Below are 24782 nucleotides of genomic sequence, written 5' to 3' on the forward strand. Positions count from 1 at the left end.
ACAACTCTGCCTGGAACACTTTTCCTTGAGATGAACTCCTGCCTCACTCCCTCACATATTTTGATCTGTGCCCAAATGTTACCCCATCAGAGAGGCCTTCGCCAGCCACTATATTGAAAATTGCAGGCCCTTCCTCCCCTACTGCCTAACATAGGTATGTATCTTTATTTGCTTATTTTTCCTTCCTCCCACTAGAATGGAAGTTCTGTAAGCTCTTTAAGAATATGGACTTTGTTTTCTCTACAGTTATGTCCCCTGAGCCTAGGACACTGCCTGGAATGTAGTGGATGCTCAATAAATTTTTGTTGACTAGAAGATTTATTAGGCTGTGTCTTAGGGGTGAATCACCTAGCGTCTTCAGGCCTCAGCCTCCTCACCTGTAAAGTGCAGAGGGTGCATTGCAGCCTGAAGGTGATGTGAATTTGTGGGGAGTCCGGCGTGTTGTCTTGAACAAGGGAGTGATATGGTGAAGGGACCGTGGGAGAGTATCAGCACTCATGAGATAGCAGGAGAGCTTCCGGGTCATGCCTCCCACAGGGTGATTGAATTTACAAAGTGAATTTAGTTATTTATAGGTGATTTTGAAGATGACTTTCCAAACTCTCCCCTCTCCCCAATGGGGCACTGTGCTGTCCCCTGCCCCTGCCCTCCATTGAGAACCCCTTCTCTAGACACATACAGGGACAGAATATGCCAGAACAAGGCAGTATTGATAAAATGACAAATAAGTGACAAATAAGTGGTATGTGGGCTCATGGTTTTAGTATGTCTTGAGCTGCTCTGTTTTGAAGGACAGCTGACTCCAGGTTCTGGGCATAAGGAGCACATTAGGCTGACGGGGCCTGGAGGCTGGAGAGGAGCTGACACACGTGTGAGAGGAGGAGCCAGCCAGATGGCTCCGATTTATCCATGTCGGTGCAGGGCTGGAGAACGAGCTCGGCCCAGCTGGGACGCTACTGCTGTGAGGCTTCCCGTGCATCTCAGACCTTGAGAGACCAAGCCTCTCTTTTCACACCTGAGCTCCTGCAGGAAGCAAGGGCTGCGGTGGCTGGGAGATGCCTGTTGTTCCTCACATTCAGCAATTAGCGCCATCTCCTTAAGGGCAGACCTCCACGTAGCTGTAATCTGAAATGTCAGTTATTACACTCTTTGATGTAAGTATAGAAGTGCCTCGGTTATGATCTCAGGAGTAAGACAGAAATAGCTAGTCAGTGTGGTGAGTAATCTGCTAAAAGCATTCACAGGGATCATCCTCGCCATGGCATTATGTGCTGTTTAAAATCTGAGTAAATGCTTAGGAGTCCGGCATTCAGAGATGCAGGGAGGGGCGGTGGAATCTCTTGGAGGAATCCTGGCTTAAGTCTCCTCACTGCTTCTGTTGCAGGTGATGGATCATGCCTATGCTATTCTTTGAGTTTCTAATGTGTAGTTAGATTTTATGGGGGATACTGAAGGGCATGGGAGCAGCCCTTGAGTCTTAGCTTAGGTCCCAGTTAGGAGGGACAATACCTATGCACGCAAAAGCAGATGCATTTGAAAGTGCTGCAGGAAAGGGCTGTAACAGCTGCTGGAATTACAGGAGGGAGCAATCTCTGTGGAGTGAGGTGATCAGGGAAGGTTACTTGGAGGAGGCAGGCTGTGAAAAGGAGAAGAGATTAGGGGTAGAATGTATTGCTTTTACTTGGTTCCTGACCTGCCTCTGTCTTCTCAGGATGGAGGCATCTTCCTGCAAACCACCTTATCCAATAAAATTAACACACAAATAGAAAATCAAGGCCACAGAAAGAAAGAAAGTGGCTAGTATGGTTGCTCCAGTTGAGCACTGGATTTGGTTTTGCACTTCTTGGCAGCCAGGACATAATGAAAACCAGGTGAATCGCACAGCTTTATTGATCAGAAAGGGGAAAGTCTACCAACTCTTCAGGGGAGGCAAAATTCTTCCTGGCACATTTTTCTAAAATCATTTTCTCATGTGGGAGTTTACATAAAAGACACAGTGGCATAATAAACATAGGTCCATCGACAACAAAAGCCTTCATAAGCGTGGAGGATTGAACACCAAGGCGTGACACGATGAAGGTAATTTGGCCAGTGGCTAAGCTGGCAAGGTCCAGTGATGTGGCTTTTAGGGGCTCTGGCTTGATGTAAAATTAACTTAGAATCATTTTCTTGAAGACGAGACTGAAGACAAATTCCCAAAGGAGGCTTTGTAGTGGACATTCAGAGGGGAAAGCTCGTTGGCCTTGGTGAGATTATACCCGGTGAAAGGATGTGGGTGCCCTCCTGCCCCTGGGTTCCCACTTTCCATCATATAATTACCCTGTCTGGGTATCGGATTTGGTGCTGAGTGTCCTGGTGTCCAGAGGCATAAAGGGAAACGCACGTCTGATTCCAGAGTCCAGAGCTGACCTTGTCTCTTTACCAAAACCCTTAGTATACTATTCCCTGGTTTATCTTAACTGGGGCATTAGAGCACCTGCTCTTGACTTTGACATGTTCTCAAGGAGTTTGAAGTCTAGACAGGGTGATTTTACTTAAAAAAAAATTTAAGGCCGGGCATGGTGGCTCACGCCTGTAATCCCAGCACTTTGGGAGGCCAAGGTGGGCGGATCACGAGGTCAGGAGATTGAGACCATCTTGGCTAACACGGTGAAACCTCGTCTCTACTAAAAATACAAAAAATTAGCCGAGTGTGGTGGTGGGCGCCTGTGGTCTCAGCTACTCGGGAGGCTGAGGCAGGAGAATGGCGTGAACCCGGGAGGCAGAGCTTGCAGTAAGCCGAGATCACACCACTGCACTCCAGCCTGGGCGACAGAGCGAGACTCCATCTCAAAAAAAAAAAAAAAAAAAAAAAATCTAAGTACAGAAAGGAATACATGCCAGTAGGTTGGCTTTGCCTCAATTCCTCCTATCAATAGCTGCCATGTGTTAAGTATTTGCTGTGTCCCAAGCGCTTTACCTACAACACTTATGTCATCTTCACAATGACGTCCAGAAGTATACACTTTTATTGTCTCCATTTTATCAGAAAGAACGGGGCTTGTGGAGATTCTGATATTCTCTCAAGCCCCCAGCCTGAGGAAGATTCCAATTGGCCTCACTTTTGGGTCTAGTGGATCTGGACTTGGGCCCCAGTCTAATCTCTGGCCTGGGTCTCTCCCTCTCCCCTCTCGCACCCTCCTCTCTGGCCACAGTCTTCTGTTCTAAGCTTGCCCTGGCTTCCTGCAAGTTTCTGGCCTCTTGTATGAGATAAGCACTTCCCTATCTGATTTCAAAGGTTTTCTACTGAGCCCTCGCTGCCATATTCTGATCCCTGAGCCACCCCGCTTTCTCACCCTTCCTGCTTGAGCCAGGGCTGTCTGCATCCCATCGGTCCCTTCCAAGAATCATAAAAGCAGAGTCCAGGTCTCCTTGTTTTTAAAGCCTCCTTGCCCTTCAGGACCACCCAGCAAGTTCCTGCTTCCCATCAGGGAGTTACTGCAGATCAGGCATTGATGAGGGGTCCCTCCCAACCTGGGTTTCCATCCCACCCTCTCACATGGGTTCCCTTGGTTGGCGTGCACCATTCAGCCACTCTCTAGGGGAGTAGCTGCTATACACCACCACCATTTTATCGTATCAAAAATATGTTTCAAATACATTGAGACTTTTACTCTCATCAATGGAAGAGAAGGAGAAGCATGGCATTTTGTCAAGCTCTCTTACTTCCGAAGGATTTAGGACTCTTGCTGCCTTTGGCCACCAGGATCAGTAAGCATTCATTTCTATTGGAAGAGATTGTGTATCTGGGGATGTTGCCCAGCGGGTCTCACTATGCTGGGAAAACTGGTGACCAACTGAGTAATACTCAAATTTATGCCAAAATTCCTGCCTTTTTCCCTGATCAGTCTTCTCTTTTGCTCCCTGCTGAACTTTGTCACTTGGGAATGGGATGGGATGAGCTGGGTGGCCTCAAACTCACATCCTCAGAGGCTCAGAGGAAAGTCCCTTTTGGTACACCAAGGCTCTTTTTCATCCTTTGAAGCTTTTGAAGGATATTTTCAGTGGATCAAAATGGCATCTTGTGCCTGGCTCTATCTGGAAGAGCTTGCCTGGGAAGGCAAGGAAGATGTTATCTAAAAGATACATGGAGAGTGATTCTTCCCAGACCAGCACATCTAGAGTTGCATGGATAGCTTCATTTCTCCATCAACATAATACCTATTATTTATTGAGTACTTATTTTATGCTAGGTCCAGTGCTAATGCATTTGCTTATGTAATCTACCCAGCAACCTAACGGAAACCTGATAGCCCATTTTATAGATAAGAAAGTGTCAAGCCTAGGATAAAAAGCTTCTGTGCTGTTGGGGGCCCTCAGGCTGTAACAGGCAGAGTGGTCAAAGAGCAAGCTACAGGTAGGTGCTGGGAGAAAGCTGTGTCTCTTGAGGTGTTCTTTCTTTTCTTTTCTTTTCTTTTCTTCTTTTTTTTTTTTTGAGACGGAGTCCTGCTCTGTCACCCAGGCTGGAGTGCAGTGGCGCGATCTCGGCTCACTGCAAGCTCCGCCTCCTGGGTTCACACCATTCTCCTGCCTCATCAGCCTCCTGAGTAGCTGGGACTACAGGCGCCTGCCACCACACCCGGCTAATTTTTTGTATTTTTACTAGAGATGGGGTTTCACCATGTTAGCCAGGATGGTCTTGGTCTCCTGACCTCGTGATCCTCCCACCTCGGCCTCCCAAAGTTCTGGGATTACAGGCGTGAGCCACTGCTCCTGGCCTTGAGGTGTTCTTTCTTTGGCCAGTCTACATCTTGGGTGTGCTTTGCTTTGGGCCTGTGAATGGAAGGGGCATTTCTTTGTTAGATAAGGAACTTTTCAGTAAAAAACAGCAGAGACCTGTCTAGTGGATGATTAAGCCTAAGCTTATGCTAAAGGGCAGGGGCTGAAATGATTTCATAACATTTTTCATCCTCACCATCTGGACCTAGACCTAATGTTGTGCAGCCTAGTACAGGAATTGTTAAGGCTTTGCTCACGTCCCACCCCCTCCCTAGTCTCCAAAGGACCTCAGCCCTCATTGATTTTCCCTCTTCTAGGACAGTTTTCAGCATTTAAGTTTAGTAATACTCAGTGTAGGGCTTGATTCTGCAATCTCCCTTGGTATAACCCGCCATGCTGCTGCTAGTCTCAGGCTCCCTCCGCTGTCTTTTGCTGCCCTTCTGCCCAGACTCAGTGAGCGCTAAAGTCAGGAAGGGCCCAAGGGATCATGTAGTTTAACCCACTCATTTTATCAGTGGGGGAAAGAGAAGGCCAGCTCTAGGCTCTCTCTCACGGTGGAGGGAAAAGTGACACACACCTTGTTAAAAGAATCCCAAGCCGAATTGAACAGATTGGGAGCTTTGGTGTTTGTTTTGGTGGACTCTTTCTTGTATGCCTGCAGTTTCTCCACTTAGATCTGACATCCTTTTACCTAATTAAATTCCCTTCCCAGTCCTCTGCCGTCTTGCTTATGTTTTAGGTTGGTTCTGATTTTTAGTATCAACCACAGAATCTCAAAACTAGAAGGATCTTTTGATGTCCTGAACTGCGATCCCTTGGGTTGGGGCCAGTGCTTCAATTACAATACCCCAGGAGTTCTTGTTATCAGTGTATCTTAGGAGGAACCAAAAAGAGTCCTCCCACAATAAGAAGAATTGTTTTTATCTGTTCTTAAAACGCTAATTTCCTTGAGTTTCTTAAAGCAAAGCCCACCTGTACGAATGTCCGTAGGTGAAAATATTGGCCCATTTAAGTTACACTTCTGCAACACAAGAGGGGTAAAATTCCAGCCCACCTGAGGAAATTCAAACACGTGGTTTAAGAGCTTATAAATGAAGGCAGAAGATTTTAGTTCAAAGAAAGAAATGGTTATGGCTAGTAAAGCCAAAATGGGATCTTAATTCAGGATTAATTGATTAAATACTTAACTAATTAATCTTCTAACTGGCTTCTGTTGCAATCAGGGTTCAGTTTTTAGACATGACCCCTGCATGTGAAAGTGAATATCTGCAGCTCGAATGTGTGCAGTGGGACAGGCATGGCCCCGAAACCAGACAGGGCAATTCAGATCTGAGGCTAAATGAAAGAGGTAGGTGACAGCAGGTTTCAGCTTCCCAAATTTCTTTTCATCCATTTCTTTTATATCATAAATTTGAGAAAAAATTGATCTGTTCATTTAGTAAGCCCATTTAGAAATAAGCTCAAATTATTACTTCCATGCCAGAAACTTGAGGCTGGGGTTACTATTATTTTTGAGCTTGGAAATTGCCATTCATTCTGCTGCAAATGAATTAGACTATATATATATTTTAAACCCATTAAAATCAACATATATTAAAAATATTCCTAACTCCTGTCTTTATTCTTGTTCTTATGTCTCACACAATGGTCCTACTTGAATGCCTTAGAGACAATGGAGTCTCTGGCATCTCTCAGGTCTCTCCTTGACATCAAGAGCAGAGCAAACATGCTGAAGGACGTGGACCCCATGTGAACCATAGCCTTCCTCCCTGTGGCTTTGGCCTGGTACAGTCCAAAATGCCAGCCGCTCAAAAACCCACCCACTCACACGGGCCTTGTTTTCAGCAAATCTTCAAGTCTGGATGGAGGAAACGCTTTACCCTTAATACGTTCTTAAGCCATGCATAACTCTAAGCCTGTTTTAACCATGTGCTTCTAATTAATTTTTACTTAATTCTTCAGTGTTTCCTTTATTTTTGTTTTTTATAAGAAGCAGCCACATGATGAGTAAGCCTGGAGAATAAGCTTTCTGAAGAGGTTTTCTTGACAATAAAAACAATATGTTTATTGAAAGGTCAAACTAATGGCCAAGGCCAATGGAGTCTCCAGGTTGGGTTGTAAGGTGTGAACTGTAGGTAGAGTGCTGAGGAGATGCTTCATTTGGACTCCCCGGTGCCTTGAAGCTGTAGAGTAACCATCTCCGTTTGGCCTCGTTCTCAAATTCTACTACCTCCCTGCAGGGCTGTTGTGCTGTGTGTAGCAATACCTTTTGTGGTTTGCTTCCAAAGTTCTTCATTCAATACCTCATCTTTGCCTCTGCAGTGGTGTCATTCTTTTTCACTTCTTTCTTCCTCTTCCCCTTTTTCCTTTTCATTTGGGGGAAAGCATTTATGAAAAGAGGTCAAGTAACTTGGCCAAAGTTCTGATGGTGCTGGAAATAGAACTCTGGACTGTTGACCCCCACGTCCTAAGCCCAAAGATGAGACCACCCAGTGGGATCCTGGGCTGTCTCCAGAGCAGCTTCCCAGAACTGGGCTCTTGGCAGAGTTTGCCTTTTAGAATACAGAGAATTAATGCACAGAAGGGGATTTCCCTTTCTTCCTGCCACCCTCCCTCCTCCCACTTCCAATCAAGAGAAAAGCCTGTCCAAGTGTAGGAAAGGGAATTATATTGGGTAACTGTGGGTAGCAGAAAGAACTAAGAACCTTATTGCAATGAAGTTGCAAGTCCAGACGTTGGTTCCAACCTGATCCCCTCCCCCACCTCCAGGCAAAAGAAAAGTTAAAACAAATACTGGAGATAGGGGAGATTATTTTAGGACTCTGGCAAGCACAGCAGTTCCCTTGCATTGCTGGCAGGTACCCAAGTTTATCTGTGTTTATGGGGATCTGCAGTGTTGATCTGTGGTGCATGGAAGCGTGCAGGTCCGTATACTCCATAGTCAATTACGTTTCCTGCTCATCCAAAATTTCAGGGCAAGATAATCGACTGGGAGAAGGAAAGGAGGGGGCTTTTGATTAATCTGAAGGACTTGAACAAATGTTCTATTACCTTTTTTGGTCCTGGGTGCCGTGCAGACCTCTGTCAATTCTGAAGGAAGACTTCAGTGAGGCCTAGTACTTTCTCAATCCAGTAAGAGAAAAAGCCCTGTGGCCACTTGAGGGTTGGTTCTACTCTCTTCTTTTTTCCCAGTCTGCAGACCTTCTATTTCCCTTTGGGTTAGATCGGAGAGATTCCTAGAGAATTAATGGGGACACGGAGACAGAGAGAGATAGTTGAGGGAAGCATGATAAACAAATCACAGTAAGACAAAGGAAGAACCTGGGGTGTTTCTAACCAGTGAGAAATCTTCATGGTGGAATTTCAGACCTTAGGATGGCCTAATAGGCAGGGTACATGTTGGTTAGGGTGACTAGCATATCTTGGGCCTCTTGAATCATGCTTCATAGGTGCCTCTTCCACTCACATTCAAATTCCTAATTGTGGGACAAAAGAAAAAGTCTGGGCCGGGCACGGAGGCTCATGCCTGTAATCCTAGCACTTTGGGAGGCCAAGGTGGGAGGATTGCCTGAGCTCAGGGGTTCGAGACCAGCCTGGGCAACACGGTGAAACCCCATCTCTACTAAAATACAAAAAAATTAGCCGGGCATGATGGCGTGTGCCAGTAGTCCCAGCTACTCAGGAGGCTGAGGCAAGAGAATCGCTTGAACCTGGGAGGTGGAGGTTGCAGTGAGCTGAGATCAGGCCACTGCACTCCAGCCTGGGCAACAGAGTGAAACTCAGTCTAAAAAAAAAAAAATAAGTAACTTCCTGTGGGCAAATTTGGAAAAATGGCACGGTCATGTTCTACTTTGGTCTTTGCGTTTGCTTCCCGTAGAAATGTACTTTTTCTAATTATCAAATAATTATCTCAAATATAAGATGCAGGCAACAGTTTTCTCAAATACCTCTGCTTCTGGAAGGAGGGTAGAGAGGAATTAGCCCAACCCTCTAACTTAATACATTGATGTTCTTTGAAACTTTTTAAAAAAAGGAACAAGAAAGTAAAAAATCTGCACAGCAATGGCTCCTTTTAACCAACCTCTTAATGGGCAATTTTAAGTACTTTCAGAATTTGGAAGAATGTTTATGTCAGAAATATGTATCATCTCAGCATCTTGGTTATGCTTATCCAAAAGTCTTGGCCTTCCTGCCTCTTCCTCTTGTAAGGGAATTTATGTAGAAAGAGGGTATGTAATCAACCATGTTCACACTGCAGAGAGAGTTTATACAGGAAGGCACTGGTTTGGGCTTTGTAATACTGAAGGCTTTACACCCAGAAGAATTTTGTAATCTAGCACACTCAATCTCCGGGGGCATAAGTTTTCTCCAATTATTGCCTTGAAGTTTTATTAAGGATCAAAGGAACGGCCTTACAAAGAATGTGCCTTCACTGTCAGCAGTGCTTCTGTGGACTTGCTGCTTTCTCTAGCATGCATGTCCATTGGAAAGACCCATGTGTTGGATTCCTTATTGGATGGTTTTACTGGAGGAAGACTTAGGGCTTTATTTTAGGAATTTGAAGACTTCCACCACCCTTCACAGTATCACAGGTGTTTGCCTCCTAGAGCATTGTAAACTAGAAACACCAAGGGATAGAAAACATTTGTGGGAATAATGGATCCATGCAAAAATACCTCAAAGAGCAAAATTTGGCTTGATACCAAGCAGAGGAGTGAAAACTCAAGTGCTGAGCTTCCAGAAGCTTCCTGGAGAGGAGCTATTCCTTGGCATTGGTGCCAGTGCCCTGGTGAGAAGCAAAATTGTTGGCCAGGGTTCATGAGTGGTTACCCAAACCTAGATGCCAGAGATCATGGAGAAGAAACTCTAAGATGGCCAAGCTTTTCCCACTCTTCTCCTCCAGATGTTTCCCAGTGGGTAGATGTGATCTCTTAGGAAATTTGACCATTTTCATAGCAGAAAGAAATCAAAACACGAAAGAGCCTTGAAAAGCTGTTACAGTGCTAAATGTATATTATGGGAATGCTTTTTTCCTTGGCCTTATCCTGGCCTGGCTCTAATTATCTACAGAGACATCTGATTAACTCCAAATGACATCGTCTATGTGTGAGTCCCATGGGGATGGCTTCTGGAAGGAACAGTTCAGGGACCATATCACATTTCATTAGTTGGGTTCCCCCTTTCATGATTTCTCATTTTGGTTGAGAAATGAAGGACATTTTAGCTTTCCCTTCCCTCTTTTCCTTCTGTAAAAACTTAAGTCTCTGATAGTTGGCCAGGGGGCTCGATGGGTAGGGGAGAGTTAGGAGGGGACAGTGAGGGCTGGGAGATGATGCTAGGTGCTCTTTTCCTTCTCACCTGAGCCCTACCTGAACAATGGGCCAGACAGAGAATGGATATTGAGCAATTATGCTGTTTTCTTTCTCTGTTTATCCAAATGCTCTGTCTTTCACATGCGAGATGAAGGAAAACCCATTTCTACTACTGATTTTCTCTCCCTTCTCTGAATATGTGTAGGAATTATAGTCTTTACCATGCAGCTTAACACACATTTTACATCTATCTGTTGGCTAATGCTTAATTATATCCAAATGTTGTGTCTCCACCTTGCAGTAGGCTACTGGAGGCCCAGAACTCAATGGACAACTTCATATCTCCACGTTACCAGGACAGGGCTTAGCCACAGATATTTATGGATCACCTGATTGTTCTGCTACTGACATGTTCACCTCCTCAAAACCTGCTTTCAAAGCTTGGCAAATTCCGGGCCATTTTGGCAGCAGAGCTGTGGGACAAGATTTAAATTGTTTGTTGCCATTTATTGGTGAACTGGACAATCAATCCAAATTTAAAATTCTCTAATCAGATTAGTTTATTTTTAATCATCTGGAGTCTGGCTGGGTTTGTTCTGTGTGGGAGCCAGTGAGACCCAACTGTTTCATTGACTTCCTTTGTATACTCTTGACAAAAGTCTTTTCATCCTCGCCCACCTTATGCCTTCAAAACTGTGAGTCAAGCTGCATTTCCTTTTTTTCTCCTTCCTCCCCATGGATACATCTTAGTTGCCATTTTTTCTTACACCCCTTTTGTTAGGTGTTAGGGCTTCAGTCATGCTGCCTCCCTTTGGCAGGGCTGGGAGGGGTGTGTGTGTATGTACATATCTGCATCTGTGTGTGTGTGGCTTTTTGCATGCGTATCTGATGGTTGTGTGTACACTCATTCATGCACAATCGCTGGCGAGTAGTTTGAGTAACATGGCATCCAGCAGGGATCTTGGGCCCCGGAAACTGAAGAACTAACCATTTTTCATCCAGAGACTAGTTTATTTCTCACTGATATTAAGTTTGTTTAACCTGTGATACAGAATTGTGAAGGGATTCTATTTCATGAGTTTGTAAGTTCTTTTCTTTTCTATGGGTTTTAGCCAGTTTGTCTTTAATGTGAAATTTGTATTCTGTGCTCACATATTTTGATATGTTTTGCTTCCTGGGGTCATACTTAGGGTACAAATCAACCAGATACAGATTAACCTGTGGATGTTTAGCCTTTGCTAAGTGCATCCTTGTCTCTAAATTCTTAAATTCCAGCACCCTGGTTAAAACAGTAGGAGGTGTGAGGAGGAACCCTTCTGAGAACAGATAGGCAGAAACATGTACACGGCGCCAATCTCCCATGGCTCCTTGCTCTTGCCAGGGTGCAGCAGGCACACGTGCACCCCGTACTGTCACTCACAGACACATGCCTGGATGCCCAGGTGCACACTCACACAGCCATCACACAGGATTTGCAGTTCTGCAAGAGGTGGGGCTGTGAAACGCTCTCCTTCTCTATGCGCATGTCTTTTATCCCCTCTCTTGGGTGGCTCCTGCAGTAGCGGGTGCTATTGGAGTAGTGTATGCTCCAGCCCTCTCTCGGACTGCAGCCCTGGGGGACACTGTTCTGCTCCCCTCCTGTCCGGGGAGTTGCTGCTCTGCCCTAGGGTCAAATGCAGACTGGTCAGGGACAATCTGGAAATACTGTAGGGATGCATGGGGTAGGTAAAAACCATGCTTCCTCTGTCTGGAAACAACACTGACTGTGGCTTTTTTATTTTAGGGACATGATGTCACTCTTCTGTTTCAAAAGTGTGCATATTGCCTAAGGTTCTCATGTTCACGTAGACTGTAATTTTTGAGATAGGCTGTGAGACACTAGATATATGGCGTCCCTTCGGCCACTTGTGTTTCTGGAGCTCGCAGAAGGACGGTTTACTGTTTCCACAGAAGTCTGAATGTTGGTTGAGCGTCCTACCTTCACAGGAGGACCAGGCAGGGCACAGCCATGGTACCGCCCCCCACAACCACAAAAACACCCTATGATTTAGACAAGAGACAGTTATGGGCATCTTTACTTCATAGGTGGATGATGAAATTGAGACAGCGAGAAGCCCAGGGGCTGGGATGCCAGCTCTCTAACCGTACCCTCTCTCTCAACCTGCAGGTCACCAGTACTGGCCCCATCTGCAGCGGATTATTTCTTCCTTCCTAAAAATCCAGGCTGCTTCTTGCCATGTGGAGACAATGAGCTCCTTAACCAAGGGTGAAAAAGACCAACCAAATCAAAACAAACAAGGGCTTTTTTTTTTTTTTTAACACTTTTCTTAGGAAGTCATTAAGGAATTATTGAGCTGATTAATGTGAGTGGAAAATATTTAAGTTTGGTCATTGTTTATGCTGGCCAGTTTGATTGCATTAGCAATTGACTTACAAAGCTGCTGTAGTGTTCCCTCCAAGCGTACTTTCATTCCTGGGTTGACTAATCAGTGGATCCCTGAGCTCAATGATGATGAGGGTCCCCCAGTGTTTAGAGGGGCTGCACTGGGGAGTAGAGAATGCAGGGGTGGGAAGAGGTGGGTCAATGCAGACCACTCCTCCCAGGCTGAGATTCACTTTTGTCCTTTGTTGGCAAAGATGGTGATGCTAGGGAATTTGGAAGCTGAAAGGAAAACAAAGGACGGGGCTCAGGCAGAAGGCAAAGTGAAAAGGAGCGAGCAGCATCTGTTTATATAGGGCTCCAAGAGGCTCACGTTAGGCAGATCCTTTTTCTGGCAGATGCTGTGAGCAGCCTGCGGAGGAAGAGCCTCTCAGACAGCTAATGACAGGTTCCTTCTCCCTGGCGCGGCCACCTCCCCTCTCCAGCGGGTGGAGATGGAGAACCTGTCGGCCGGCCTCAGGGTGACCTCTCTCTCCACAGTCCCCTGCAACGGCCTCATCTCTGCTGACAGCAGGCACAACACAGCACACACTCTGTGGGCCAGGATTTTCCTCCCTCTGAGAGCCGCCCATTGTGAAGTGGACTAAATCCTGGCCATCTTCCTCTTCCTCCCCCTTTGTCTTTTCTTAGAACTTCTGTTCCAGTTTTGTACTTGCCTAAGATACAGGGGACGTGGAGTGACTCTACAGAGTGGGGCGTGTGTGTGTGTGTGTGTGTGTGTGTGTGTGTGTGAGTGTGTGTTGGGGGCTGGCTAACACCAGTGGCAGGCAGGCTGTGCCCCTTCCTCCCCAGAGCCCTCTAGCCCATTTCTGCCCCTGCTATTTCCCTGGGGTCCCAAGTCTTCCAAAGGTTGGTTTGGGCAGGGATGGTGGAGCTGGATCTGCATGTGTCATTCCAGCTTCCCGGTTGGCATGCTCAGTCATTGCCATGGGGCCCAAACCACAGCCCCCAACTCTCTGAACACACACTGCCGACCATGGGAGGGAAGGGCAACCCCTTCTCATATCATTTCATGCTCTCAGTGGCTCTTGGAGATGTGATTGTTCCCATTTGACAGCAAGGGAAACCGAGGTCAGAGAGACTGAGTAGATTGTTCATCCTGGTTAAGTAGGTAGTCCGAGTGCAGCCAGAATTAGCACCCAGACATGCTGGTGCCTAATTTTGTGTTTCTTCTTCATAAAGCTGGATAGCAGGGAGACTAAGGTAGAAGGATTCCTTGAGCCCAGGAGTTCAAGACCAGCCTGGGCAGCATAGCAAGACCCCATCTCAAAATAAAAAAAAAAAAAGCCAGACAGCAAGGAAAAGATAGGGAGTAAAAGTAACCTAAGGAGAAAGAGAAACAGAGAGCAATGGGAAAGAGAAAAGGGAGGTGGTAGAAGTAAGGAGGGATTTAGGAACCTGGGAGGGACAGTCTCCTATCTCCAAGGGTCACAATGAGAAAGAAATGCAATAAATACTGTATATCTCCTAGGAAATGCAGATTTTGTCAGCTTGCCATGATATTCATTGATCACTTTCACTATTCAATTGACCATCTCCTGGGTACTCTGCCTGATCCTAGGCTCTTTGGGGACCCTTGAGACTGAGGAGAGATAGGCTCTTCCCACAGTGAGCTTGCTGCCTTCACTGGACATCCATGCTTGGAGAAGTTAAGTGGCAGCTGCTTACTGAAGAGATGTGAGTTGAGCATCTGCCACATGCTCAGCACCATTTAGGGTGAAGTTGTGGGTTCTAAGGAGCAAGCTCTGCATGGGGAAGGTGGTCAGGGAGTGTATCTCGGGGAAGAGGAGCAGGGGCTGAAGAGGACAAGGTGTCCTCCTCCCATTCTTAGCATGGAAAGGCATGCTGCATGAACCCTGAGACTATGTGCTGTACCCGTGACACCCTATTGAGCCCCTGTTTGTCATTGTTTAGGTGTTTAGACTGGCCCGAATGGAGTGGTGATGGCAGGTGGCTGGGCCGTGTATGACTGGGAAGGCTTTCTGGGAGAAGTGCACCGTCCTGCCCTGGAAGGCAAGAGCCCTACCTAATAACTTCCTTCTGGCTGCTCTGCTCCTTCCCCTTCAGGATTCCTTAGGCACTGGCTGCATAGCCCCTCCGAGGGGCTTTTGAGCAGGACCTCTCAGGGTGGGTCTTTGAAGGTCATAAACCCAAGAAGATCCATGTTGGCTCCTGGGACCCACAGTCTTCCAACTCTGCTCTCTGATGTCACTGTCCCCAGGAGAAGGGTCACCCAGGCTACAGGAGGGTGAGGCCTTTTGGGAGTGGTGGCCGAGGAGACCTGGATTCAGGCTTGTTTCTGGCCAGCTGTGTGACATTGAGTGGAGATGATGATGGCCGAAGTAGTGACAGACACTATTCATTGAGCCTGGCCCTGTGCTAAGCACTTGACAGACATCAACTCATCTGCTACTCACAGCAGCTCTGTAAGGGAGGTGCTGTCATCCTCCTTGTGCAGACGAAGAAGCCAAAGCTGATGGAACTCCTGGGCATCAAGAGGTAGGGTTGAGATTCACACCTGCTCTTGCTGACTCCAAAGGCCTTGTGCTAATGATTAGGCCACACTGCCTCCCCAGTTATTACTCCTGGGCCTCCCTTCTCACTGTGTAATTGGGACTTGAATTGACTGTTTGGGAGCATTCTAGAATTCCAGTGAGAGGTGTCCCCAAGTAGGCCTTGGCCTGGGGAAAGACGATGCTTCAGAAATGGCAGGGAGGAGCAGGCCCAAGTTACAGAGCCCCTGTTTGCCCCACAGCAGCCTGTGGGCTGCTTCTCACCTCCTTCCTCCCCTGGCCATCCAGAGTGGCCTGCTCTGCTAGAAGCCCACGAAGTATACCCTGGGGCTCCTGTACCTACGGCTGCCAGGCCTTGGGTAAGGTGCCCTGGGCAGCTGCCCAAGGCTGCCCTCCTCGTGGAGCAGGCCTTCAGCAAACATCCCTGCTGAGCGATGCTCTTGCTCGGTGCTGTCCGCTGCTGTCATCCCGTGGCTGCTGCTGTCTGCCACATCAGGTTAGAAGTAGAAATTTCCTTCTAGACCCCAGAGTCCTCCCCTCCCCCGCTGCTGCTGTTCATCTTGGGGGACCCACCCTTTGTTGGTAGGACCTCCCTTGGAGAGATGGGGGCTGGAGGGAGCCAGGGACTTGTCATCCTGGGAGTTCCAGGGCTGGGCTTGGCTGGGACATGTTGGGCTGACCACCCCTGTGGTCAGGGCCTGCGACTGGTGAGGTTCTAAGGCCTCCCCTCTCTCAGCAGCTGCTTCACAGCCTCACGGGAGGTGATCGGACACCAGCCTGGCAGGGCAGCCTCATCTCATCTTCTGTAGCTCCCAGCCTTCCACTGTGGAAGTGCTCACTAAATAGGTGTTGAACGGAGGTGTGAACCCAGGATGAGGCAGAGTCCCGTCAGAGGCCTGTACAGGCAAACTCAGCATCAGCACGGCTTTAGAGACCGAGTGCCCGCTTTTTCTCTCTTTTTGATAAATTCTCTTCCCTCCCTGTCTCTCCTGTCTCCTTTCCATCATGCCAAAGCACCCCATGCCTTGGGGAAAGCTGAATGCCAGGAATCGGGTGGCTTTTGGTGTGACTGTACAGAGCAGGCAGCCTGTGGGGTAGGGTTGCACTGAGAGGGGTATTCTGAAGCCACAGGCCCAGGGAGACAGACAGGCTGTGGTCTGTGAGACTACCTGATTTCCCACCTTGCCTTCTGATAGATGAATCAAGCCGGGACGCCCAGTCACCCTGACTTTGACTCTTTCCTGGAGGGACCCACCCAAGCTGCACATTCCCAGGGCCAGTGCACCCTTTCCCGTGTGCCTGGGAGTCTCAGTCCTGCTCCTCCCATTCCTGAGTTCGTCTCCAAGTCCAGGGTATCACTGTGACCCGAGGAAGCCCAGTGACACGGTCCCAGCAAGGGTGTGGTGAAGGAAGTTGTTTTTCTTAATGGTAAACAGGATAGTAAAATGACAATAGCAGCGTAGACACTTCTCAGTTATTTACAAGTGGATTCCTCTGCCTTCTGGATGATCTCCTCCCCACGGTTGAATTGGTTCCCAAGGGGGGCCTTGAGGAAGGAACAAAGATTACTGAGACTGTATTACATGTCAGGTGTCGTGGCAGGCACTTTACGTAATTGCCCCTCAAGCCCCATTGTCCATGTTTATATCTCATTTGCTCATAAGGAACTAAGGCTCTTGGACTTTATTAAATAAGTTTCCTGTGGTCATTTGGTTAAAAAGTGCCCTCACCAGGCCATCTCACTCCATGAGTTACTGTCTTCCTGCTCCGTGAGTGTGCCCCGTGTGCATGTACACAAGTGTATGCGGAAAGGGCACAAGGGAAGGTGGACTCCACGCAGTCCGCCCGTTCTCATGCTTCATGCAGTGCTCACAGCATTTGAGGCTCATGAAATTCTCCCACCAGCAAGAGCTTATTCATACTGCCTTTGAATTTCTGGGGCCATTTTAAATCAAAGAGCCCCCAAACATTTCCATAGAGTTGTTTTCAACTTATTTTCATACCTCCCTGGAAGATGGAAAGTGGGAGCTGAAACTATTGCAAACTAGGAAACTTAGGGCCCAAGAAGAGAATAAATCCAGAATCTGACCCCTTCTCTTCATTTCCACTACCCTGGTCTGAGCCTCTGCCTTCTCCTACCAGGGAACTTGCAGTCACCTCCTAATGGGTCTCTCGGCTTCCACCCTTGAGCTTCCTGCTGCCTCAGCCAGCATGATCCTCGGGTTACGTTATTCTTCTGCTCAGAATCCCACAGTGGGCTCTCATCATGGGTGAAAATCCTTAAAACAGCCTACAAGGCCACACATGGTCTGTACCCCACCCCTGCTTCTCCGGCCTCATTGTGCATTTTTCTCTCCCAACTCCTCCCACTGGCCTCCTTGCATCCCTGAGACTTACTAGGCATCCCCTTGTTGTCTTGGCCATTCCCTCTGCCTGGATCACTTTTGATCACTGAAACCCCACTTCAAATCTTTGTTGTAATGTGCCCACAATAAGGCATACCCTGAATACTCTACTTAAAACCGCAATGCCCTTCCCCCATCCTGATCTCCTTACCCCATGCTATTTATTCTGTAGTGCAGAGTATGTACTTATCACATTCTGAAAGATCATATAATTTACTTATGGAGTTGAAGAGATTTAGAATTCTGCCTTTCAGTAAAATTAGACAATGAATTCTGTGCATAACATGGGTTGAATAGCAAAGCTTCTGAGAAAAGGCGACCTGATGAACACCCTCCTTAAACTCTCCTCACTTTCTGAGCCATCCCTTTGGCATTTTCCTTGAGGTCAGGGATCAGACATCATTACTTGAATCCCCTACGAGTTTCGGCTTTTCTGCTGGTACACACTCAGTAGGCGTTGGTGGACTTGAGAGGAACTGAAATTGCCACTGCTCCTGAAGAGAACAAATAACCAGGAACTTGCAGATTAAAGGATGAAGGTAGATTTTTTTAGGGTGTCCTAATAAACGGACCAAGCCCAGAATCTCACCCACATGATCTTGCAGGCTTTTGCTCAAGGGACTTTGATCTTAAGCTCAGTATTTTCCAGTAGGTGGTCTGCTCGCAAACTTATTTGCTTTTAATCAAGACCTGCCTGTGAGAACTATTAATTCAGATGATCTAATCAAAACCACACAGGAGGCTTTAATGATGCTACTCTGCCCCTGCTTCTCCCCCTCCCTCCACCATGACACTCTGATTCCGTTTAAAGAAGCCCAAATGTGGTTTCAGGGCCTTGGAGAAAACTGCTGGAGGAAGGCCAGCCTCACAGCCTTTTGTCATGTATGCCTCTGGTTCTTTTCTGACTAGAACTCTCCAAGCAAACTCATTTGAAGAGTCCACAGACCATTCTTCCTTCTGATCTGTGTATCTTCTCTCAAGGAATCACCCCAGCCTTAATATGAAAGTTATCATTTTTTTTTTGATATAACTAAAAACCCCTTAGAAGCAGTATGGCCTAGTGAGAGGAGTGCAGGGTCTCATGGCTTGCTGACTGACAGGCTGTGTGGGTCTTGGAAGAATAACGTGAGTTCCCAGAACATCAGTTTGCTCATCTGCAAAATGGGGAATTACAGTCCACAATTAATAATTCACTCGACATTTGGAATATGTATTATAAGGGAAAGCATAGGGTGTTATGAAAGCATGAAATAGTGGGATCTAACCTTGTTGAAACAGGCAGAGTGGGACTGGGGGTTGTCAGGGACAACTTTCTTGAGAAGGTAAGTTTGAGATGGGTGTTGATAGAGGGTGAGTTTTAAGTAGGCCGAGTCAGCACCTTGGTCCCCCTTCCTTTATATTCATGTACCAGCTTGATCTCCTGGGGAAATGTGAGAAGTGTTCTGGAGAAGCATGGAGGTTTAGAGCCACCGTGAACCTCAGAGCACATTATGTAGCCCACCCTGTCTGCCCTCACTCTTCTCAGTATTGCCAATGAAGGCAGTGGCGCCCACGAGCTAATGTGACTTCCTCATACCCCTCAGCTGATGAGCAACAGAGCTGGGACTACAGGACATAGCCATCTTTGTCCCTATTATGTGCCAGACATACGTCTAGCACCCTGCGTACTTGATATTGAATCTGCACTAGCAACTCTATGCAGTACGTATTATTATTACTTCTTGTTTACAGATGAGGAAACAGAGGCCCCGGGAGGGTAGGCACCCCTGTAAAGGTCATACGGTTCGGGAAAGAGTCAGGATTTGGATTCAGCCTGACTGCACAGCCCCCACACTCCTAATCACAGCATTGTCCTTCCCCCTGCCAGAAACTTGGTTTGCAGTATTTCTACTGAAACGTGACATTTTACCTGCCCTCATGGAGGTATGATCTTTTTGGAGAGAAAAGATAGCAACAATTCAACACAGACACCACACCAAAGGTTCTTGAGATGGAACAGAATGCAGGCCCCAGGGACTCAAAGTCATTTTTCAGCATGGGAAGACTTGGCACCGAGTCTGTATCACAGGATGAGCAGGGCTGTGCAGAGAAAACCCAGAGGACTGGAGGGTGGGCTTTGGGAGGAGCAAGTCAATTTATCTCTTGGGCTTCATTTTCCTCATTGGGAGCATTGAGGAAGAGTAAGGGTGGGAGGGAGGGGTGGGTTGGCAAATGTTTTCCCAAGTCCCTGGGGTTGGTGGGTGGAGTTTAAGCCAATTGCTGATGGCTTTGCCACCAGGTGGCAAAGTTTAGACTTTGTCTAGAAGAAGTGGGGAGCCATGAGGGGTTTTGAGCAGTGGGACATGAAAGTATTGCTTTGGGAAGTTGGAATCCAGGAGGCTTTTATCTTCCAGTCTTGCTTCTCTGGAGACTGATGTCCCAAGAGAACATGCCTGGCCGCTTAGCTCCGTGGAGTTTATGCTCTGGGAGACCCTGATGGGGAGATCCTCATTTCGACTGGTCACATTAATACTACTTTTCGAGTGTGAAAGGTTGAGTCAAGGTTTGGACTTCTGGCAGGTTCTCGCCTTTGGCTGGTGTTCCGCCTTTGAGATGGTCCCACTACTTTCACTCAGCGTCCCTACCCCACACACATCTCCCCCTCTACACAGACACTAAGGGCTCCTCATGGGGTTTCATTATTGGTTTTTAGCGGATGTTCCTCTAACTCGGTGCATTTCCTCAAGCCAACGTCTATTCCACTATCATGGGGAAATTAATATAGAAATTTCCTCCTTTGTATCATCAATTTCAGAGGATGTATGTTCCCGGCTGATGGCCCTCCCCTCTATTTGCATAACAGCAGGTAAACAATACTGCCACCTAGTGGGAGCTCAAGGTGTGACCTTCGGAGCTCCTCCTCCTGACCCCGGGACATTATTTCTATTACTGTTAATATTTAAACTAATGGGCAGTTCTGAGCTCAGTGCTCTTCCCAGTGAGTGGATCCACGTGGATTTTCACGTCTCCTTCTCATTCTCTTAAAACTTGGAGTTACAAGTGTCAGAGAAGCTGTTTTGTGTACGCAGAACGATTGAAACAGGTGCAGGGAGTTTTACCTACTTTACTTTGACTTTTGCTCACAGCAGTCCAGGTAGGTAACTGGATTCCCGTTTTATACGTGAGGAAACCCAGGCTCAGTAAGATTAAGTAACTTGGAACTTTACTGAGCACCTAACGTGCCCAACTACGTCCTGGACTACCTAGGTAGTATGGGGATTGTGGCCTGTTTTCCTCTAAGAATGCGCTGTCCAGACACAGTGGCAAGGCGTAGTTAGCTCCTGGCCAACTTGTAGAGGAGAGGAGAGACCCTTGCACACTGCAGTAGTGCAGCAAGACTGCTTGGATGGAAGAAGTGGGTCTGGAGCTAGGATTCGAAAGGTGGCATGGGAAGAGAATGTTTGGCGGATGAAGGCACAGAGGCGGCGCTAGTGCTAGGGATGTCCGGGGGCGAGGAAAGACTTGCTGATCTTGGGCTGTGCCAGGTGTTGTGGGTTGAGGGGTCTGGGATACAGAGCCTGCGAGAGCTAGGTTGAGAGCTCCAGGGAGTCACTGCGACTACTTCCTTGCTCCATTTGTGAACTGAGAAGTAAGACTCGTTTGATGGACGAAATTTAAATAATGCAGAAATATATTAAAGTAAAAAAAAAAAAAAAAGAGAAAATCTCCTACCAGGCCTATTCTCCCCCAGAAAACATGATTAATAGTTAAACGTTTGGGGTACATGCTTTCAGAAGATTTTCTTTGCCTGTATATAGATATATATGTCTATTCAAGTATATAAAAATTAATACATGCATATGTAGTGTGATTTATTTTAATAGGGTTATGTTTTAACTATTATTTTATAATTTCCTTGTCATCAAAAATTCAAAAATATATCACAGTCATCTTTTAACTTAAACCTTTTACTATGGAAAATTTTAAACATATGCAAACCTAGAACAGTATAATAAATCTCCCTCAGCTTCAACATTTATCAATACATAATCAATTTTGTTTTCTCCCTACCTCACTCCATAGGTTCTCCTGAACTGGATTATTTTAAATAAAGCTCCAGACATCATACATTGCATCTGTAAATACATCTGTATCGATCTCAAAGACACTTTTAAAACATATATAACCACAGTGCCATTATCACATTAAAGAAACCTGTATTCTTTCATATCATCAAATAGCTAATTAGTGTTCAAATTTTTCCACTTGTCTCATAAACTTTGAACAGCTGATGTGCTTGAATGATGATTCAAATAAGGTCTATACGTTGCATTTGAGTGCTGTTTTTTATGTCTCATTCCATTCATAGATTTCTACTCCCTCCTTTTTCTTTTTTTGTTTTTGCCATTTCTTTTTTTGTTGAAGAAACTAGTCATTGTCCTGTAAAGTTTCCCACATTTTGGATTTTGCTGATTGTATTCCCATGGTGTCTTTTAACCTGTTCCTCTGGCCCTATATTCCTTGTAAACTGGTAATGAGTTCTAGGTGCTTGAGCAGAATTAGATTTGATTTCTTGGCATAAAGATGGGAGCTTCTTAGGCAGGAGAATGAGGCGACCAAGAGCCAGAGTGGTGGGATTGAAGAAAGAAGGACACATCTCACTGGCCTCCCCAAGCAATCCCTTTCACTTGTCTTTCGAGGCACATGTGAGAGACAAAGGGGGCACCCCAAACCTCTGTAGGGTTGGCCTCAGGGATGCTCAGTTTCCAGGGGGTCACATCTCAGAGCCTTCCATGGGTGGCCCACCCAATCCCACCATCTGGTCAGCCAGGGTTGCTCAGTAACTTGTTCTCATGATGAGTGGAAGTCATAGCTTCCTCCTCTCATTGTGGTTTCACATTTGCTTTCTTCCCTTCTTATAACATGTTTCTATTTTCTAAAATATCACAAAAATGCTGTCTTTCCAATTCTCAGCTAGCTCATCCCGTTGACACTGCTGAGCCACTGAGGACAGCTTAACTGTCTCAGCTCAGAGCCAGGAAAAATTTGGACAGTGTTTGCAGAAATTGCCAGGGCTCGTGAAATGCTTTACATATTGTATCACAAGCTCCTGAGGAAGAATCACTTAATTTAGAAATCAAATGACTAGGCCGGGCATAGTGGCTCAAGGCTGTAATCCCAGCACTTTGGGAGGCTGAGGCGGGAGGATCACTTGAGCCCAGGAGTTCAAGACCAGCCTGGGCAACATACGGAGACCCCCCCATCTCTACAAAATAATAATAAAAAAAAAAGCCTGGTGTGGAGTATGTCTGTGATCCCAGCTGCTTGGGAGGTTGAGGTGGGAGGATTGCTTGAGCCCATGAGGTTGAGGCTGCAGTGAGCCGTGATCGCACCATTGCATTCCGGCATGGGTGACAGAGCATGACCCTGTCTCAAAACCAAAAAGAAATCAAATTACTACCTCTGACTCCTGCTTACCACCCTATCGCAGGGAGTCCAACCTCAGCCCTGTTTTTCTTAAATGATCATATTCAGTTCTTCAGTATCTTTGATTAGTCTCCCCTCCCCCTACCTTAATGACAATTTGTTTGTTATTTTCTATTAATCAAAATTTGCAGTTGCAAGTGTCAGAGGGGCTGTTCTGCATACAGGCAGAACCTTTGAAACAGGTGCAGGGAGCTTTACTCAGAACAAGAGATGCTCATCACCAGCAGCTGATGCAGGGCCTCCACCCGCGCCCGCCCCCCGGCCCCCGACATGATATTGGAACAGCTACATCTGATAATGTAGTTTGCTGTGTGGTCTGATCTCTGTGAAATATTTGCTTTTCTTTAGGCTTTCAGAAATATTCAAAATAGCTTCTCATTATCACTTTCCTAAACTCCTGTGGTGTCTAGGACACCACAGTGCGGGGTTACTTCTGTTAGTTATTAGAATCATCAATTTCATTGCTAGAGGGGACCACAGAAGCCACCCTGGTCCAGGGTCCTGCCTCATCCATCCCTCTTCAGTCTACTCACTTGAAAAACAAATTACCTGAATCCTAGACAGGTTACATCCTTTCTCAGGACCAATAGATAATAAATGGAGGTGAGGTTTGAGCCTCGTTTTTGGTTATGAGTTTTATCAAAATTATTTTATTTTTAAATAATTCATCTACAGAGAGAAGAAAGCTCAAATTAAGGGCCAGCCTTCATAGATGCAGTCCGTGAAAGTGTTTCTCCTTAAGTCTGTCTTGTAAACTCTTCGGAGCTGAGCTAAGAAAGGGATACTTTCTCAACTCCAAGCTATCAGTGCTTTACCAAGCCTCCTCTCGTCCAGGCCCATCTTCCGACTTGACCCCAGCAAGTGCCCATTTCCTGGGAATGAATGTTGATTTTAGAGACTGTCCTTAGGTTTTTTCAGGGAGGCAGTATGGTGTCACAACACAAACCCCAGACAGACTTGGGTTCTAATCCCAAGTCCCCACTTGATTAGCGAGGTGGTGTTGGGTTAGTCACTTCGATTCTGATCCTCCATTTCCTTATCTTTAAAATAGGCCGAGAGTCCCCATCCCAGGTTATTCCTGACTGTGCATCTCCAGCCGGTGACATATCCCACACGCGTCATAAATGGTTGCTATTGTTCCTGTGGGAAGGCAGAGTTGAATCTAGCCTCTAGGGAAAAGAGGATGGGCAAGACCTAAGATAGAAAGCCAGTGTTTCCAAGATAATGTACCCTTGTGTTTGACCCTCAGATTTGGGAAAGATGGTTGTTTTTTATGAACTGTCCACTTTTCTTCCTCACCAGCTAGAAACTGAGTTGAGATAATCAACCCTCTGTCAAACAATCTATACACACACACAACTATATATATATACACACACATACACACACACACTCACACACACACACCCAGAAAAGGGGAAAAATACTCAGCAAAGCTCTATCCACATGTTGGCATGTGATTTCTGGAACTTTGTCAGCCAGTTTTCTCGTGTCTGAATCCAGAAAGCAAACTGGGTTGGAGACAGTTCACGAGAAACATCCCCTCAGATGACCTACTCAGGTACTTCCTCTATATTATTTCATTACTTTTTTGTCCTGATGAATTTTGCTCTTACAGTTTCAAGATAATCAATTTATTTTCATGCGCCTTCCCCGTCCAAATTGGATTATGAATATAAATAGCCATGTGCTGGCCCCAGTGGCCAGTGTGCACTCCCAGGCTGGTGCTTGGCAGACTGGGTCCTGGGGAAGGCTTGGGCTGTTTGTTTATTTTCAATTGAAGCTCTAAATGCTGGAATGACTTCCAGCTCCTTTACGCACAGCCATCTCAAAACTCCCTTTGTTCCCTGGTTGCAGAGGCCAAATACTCAGGGTTTTCTTTAGCTAT

At 46.4% G+C, this 24782-nt stretch overlaps 1 protein-coding gene across 19 annotated transcripts in view, besides 2 other annotated features; it reads left to right on the forward strand.

The window, feature by feature from the left end:
• Window positions 1-24782, forward strand: part of PRKCE (protein kinase C epsilon) — a 536712-nt gene that overhangs the window by 107217 nt on the left and 404713 nt on the right. The window lies entirely within an intron of this gene.
• Window positions 20135-20429: an enhancer, noted in NCBI's record as "tiled region #1594; HepG2 Activating non-DNase unmatched - State 4:PromP, and K562 Activating DNase unmatched - State 12:CtcfO". NCBI's record gives its function as "activates a minimal TATA promoter and a strong SV40 promoter by Sharpr-MPRA in HepG2 and K562 cells {active_cell/tissue: HepG2 | K562}" and the evidence as "EXISTENCE:reporter gene assay evidence [ECO:0000049][PMID:27701403]".
• Window positions 20211-20300: a silencer, noted in NCBI's record as "silent region_11442". NCBI's record gives its function as "represses an Ori minimal core promoter by ATAC-STARR-seq in GM12878 lymphoblastoid cells {active_cell/tissue: GM12878}" and the evidence as "EXISTENCE:reporter gene assay evidence [ECO:0000049][PMID:35858748]".

Source organism: Homo sapiens, chromosome 2 (assembly GCF_000001405.40).
Source record: "Homo sapiens chromosome 2, GRCh38.p14 Primary Assembly".
NCBI lineage: Eukaryota > Metazoa > Chordata > Mammalia > Primates > Hominidae > Homo > Homo sapiens.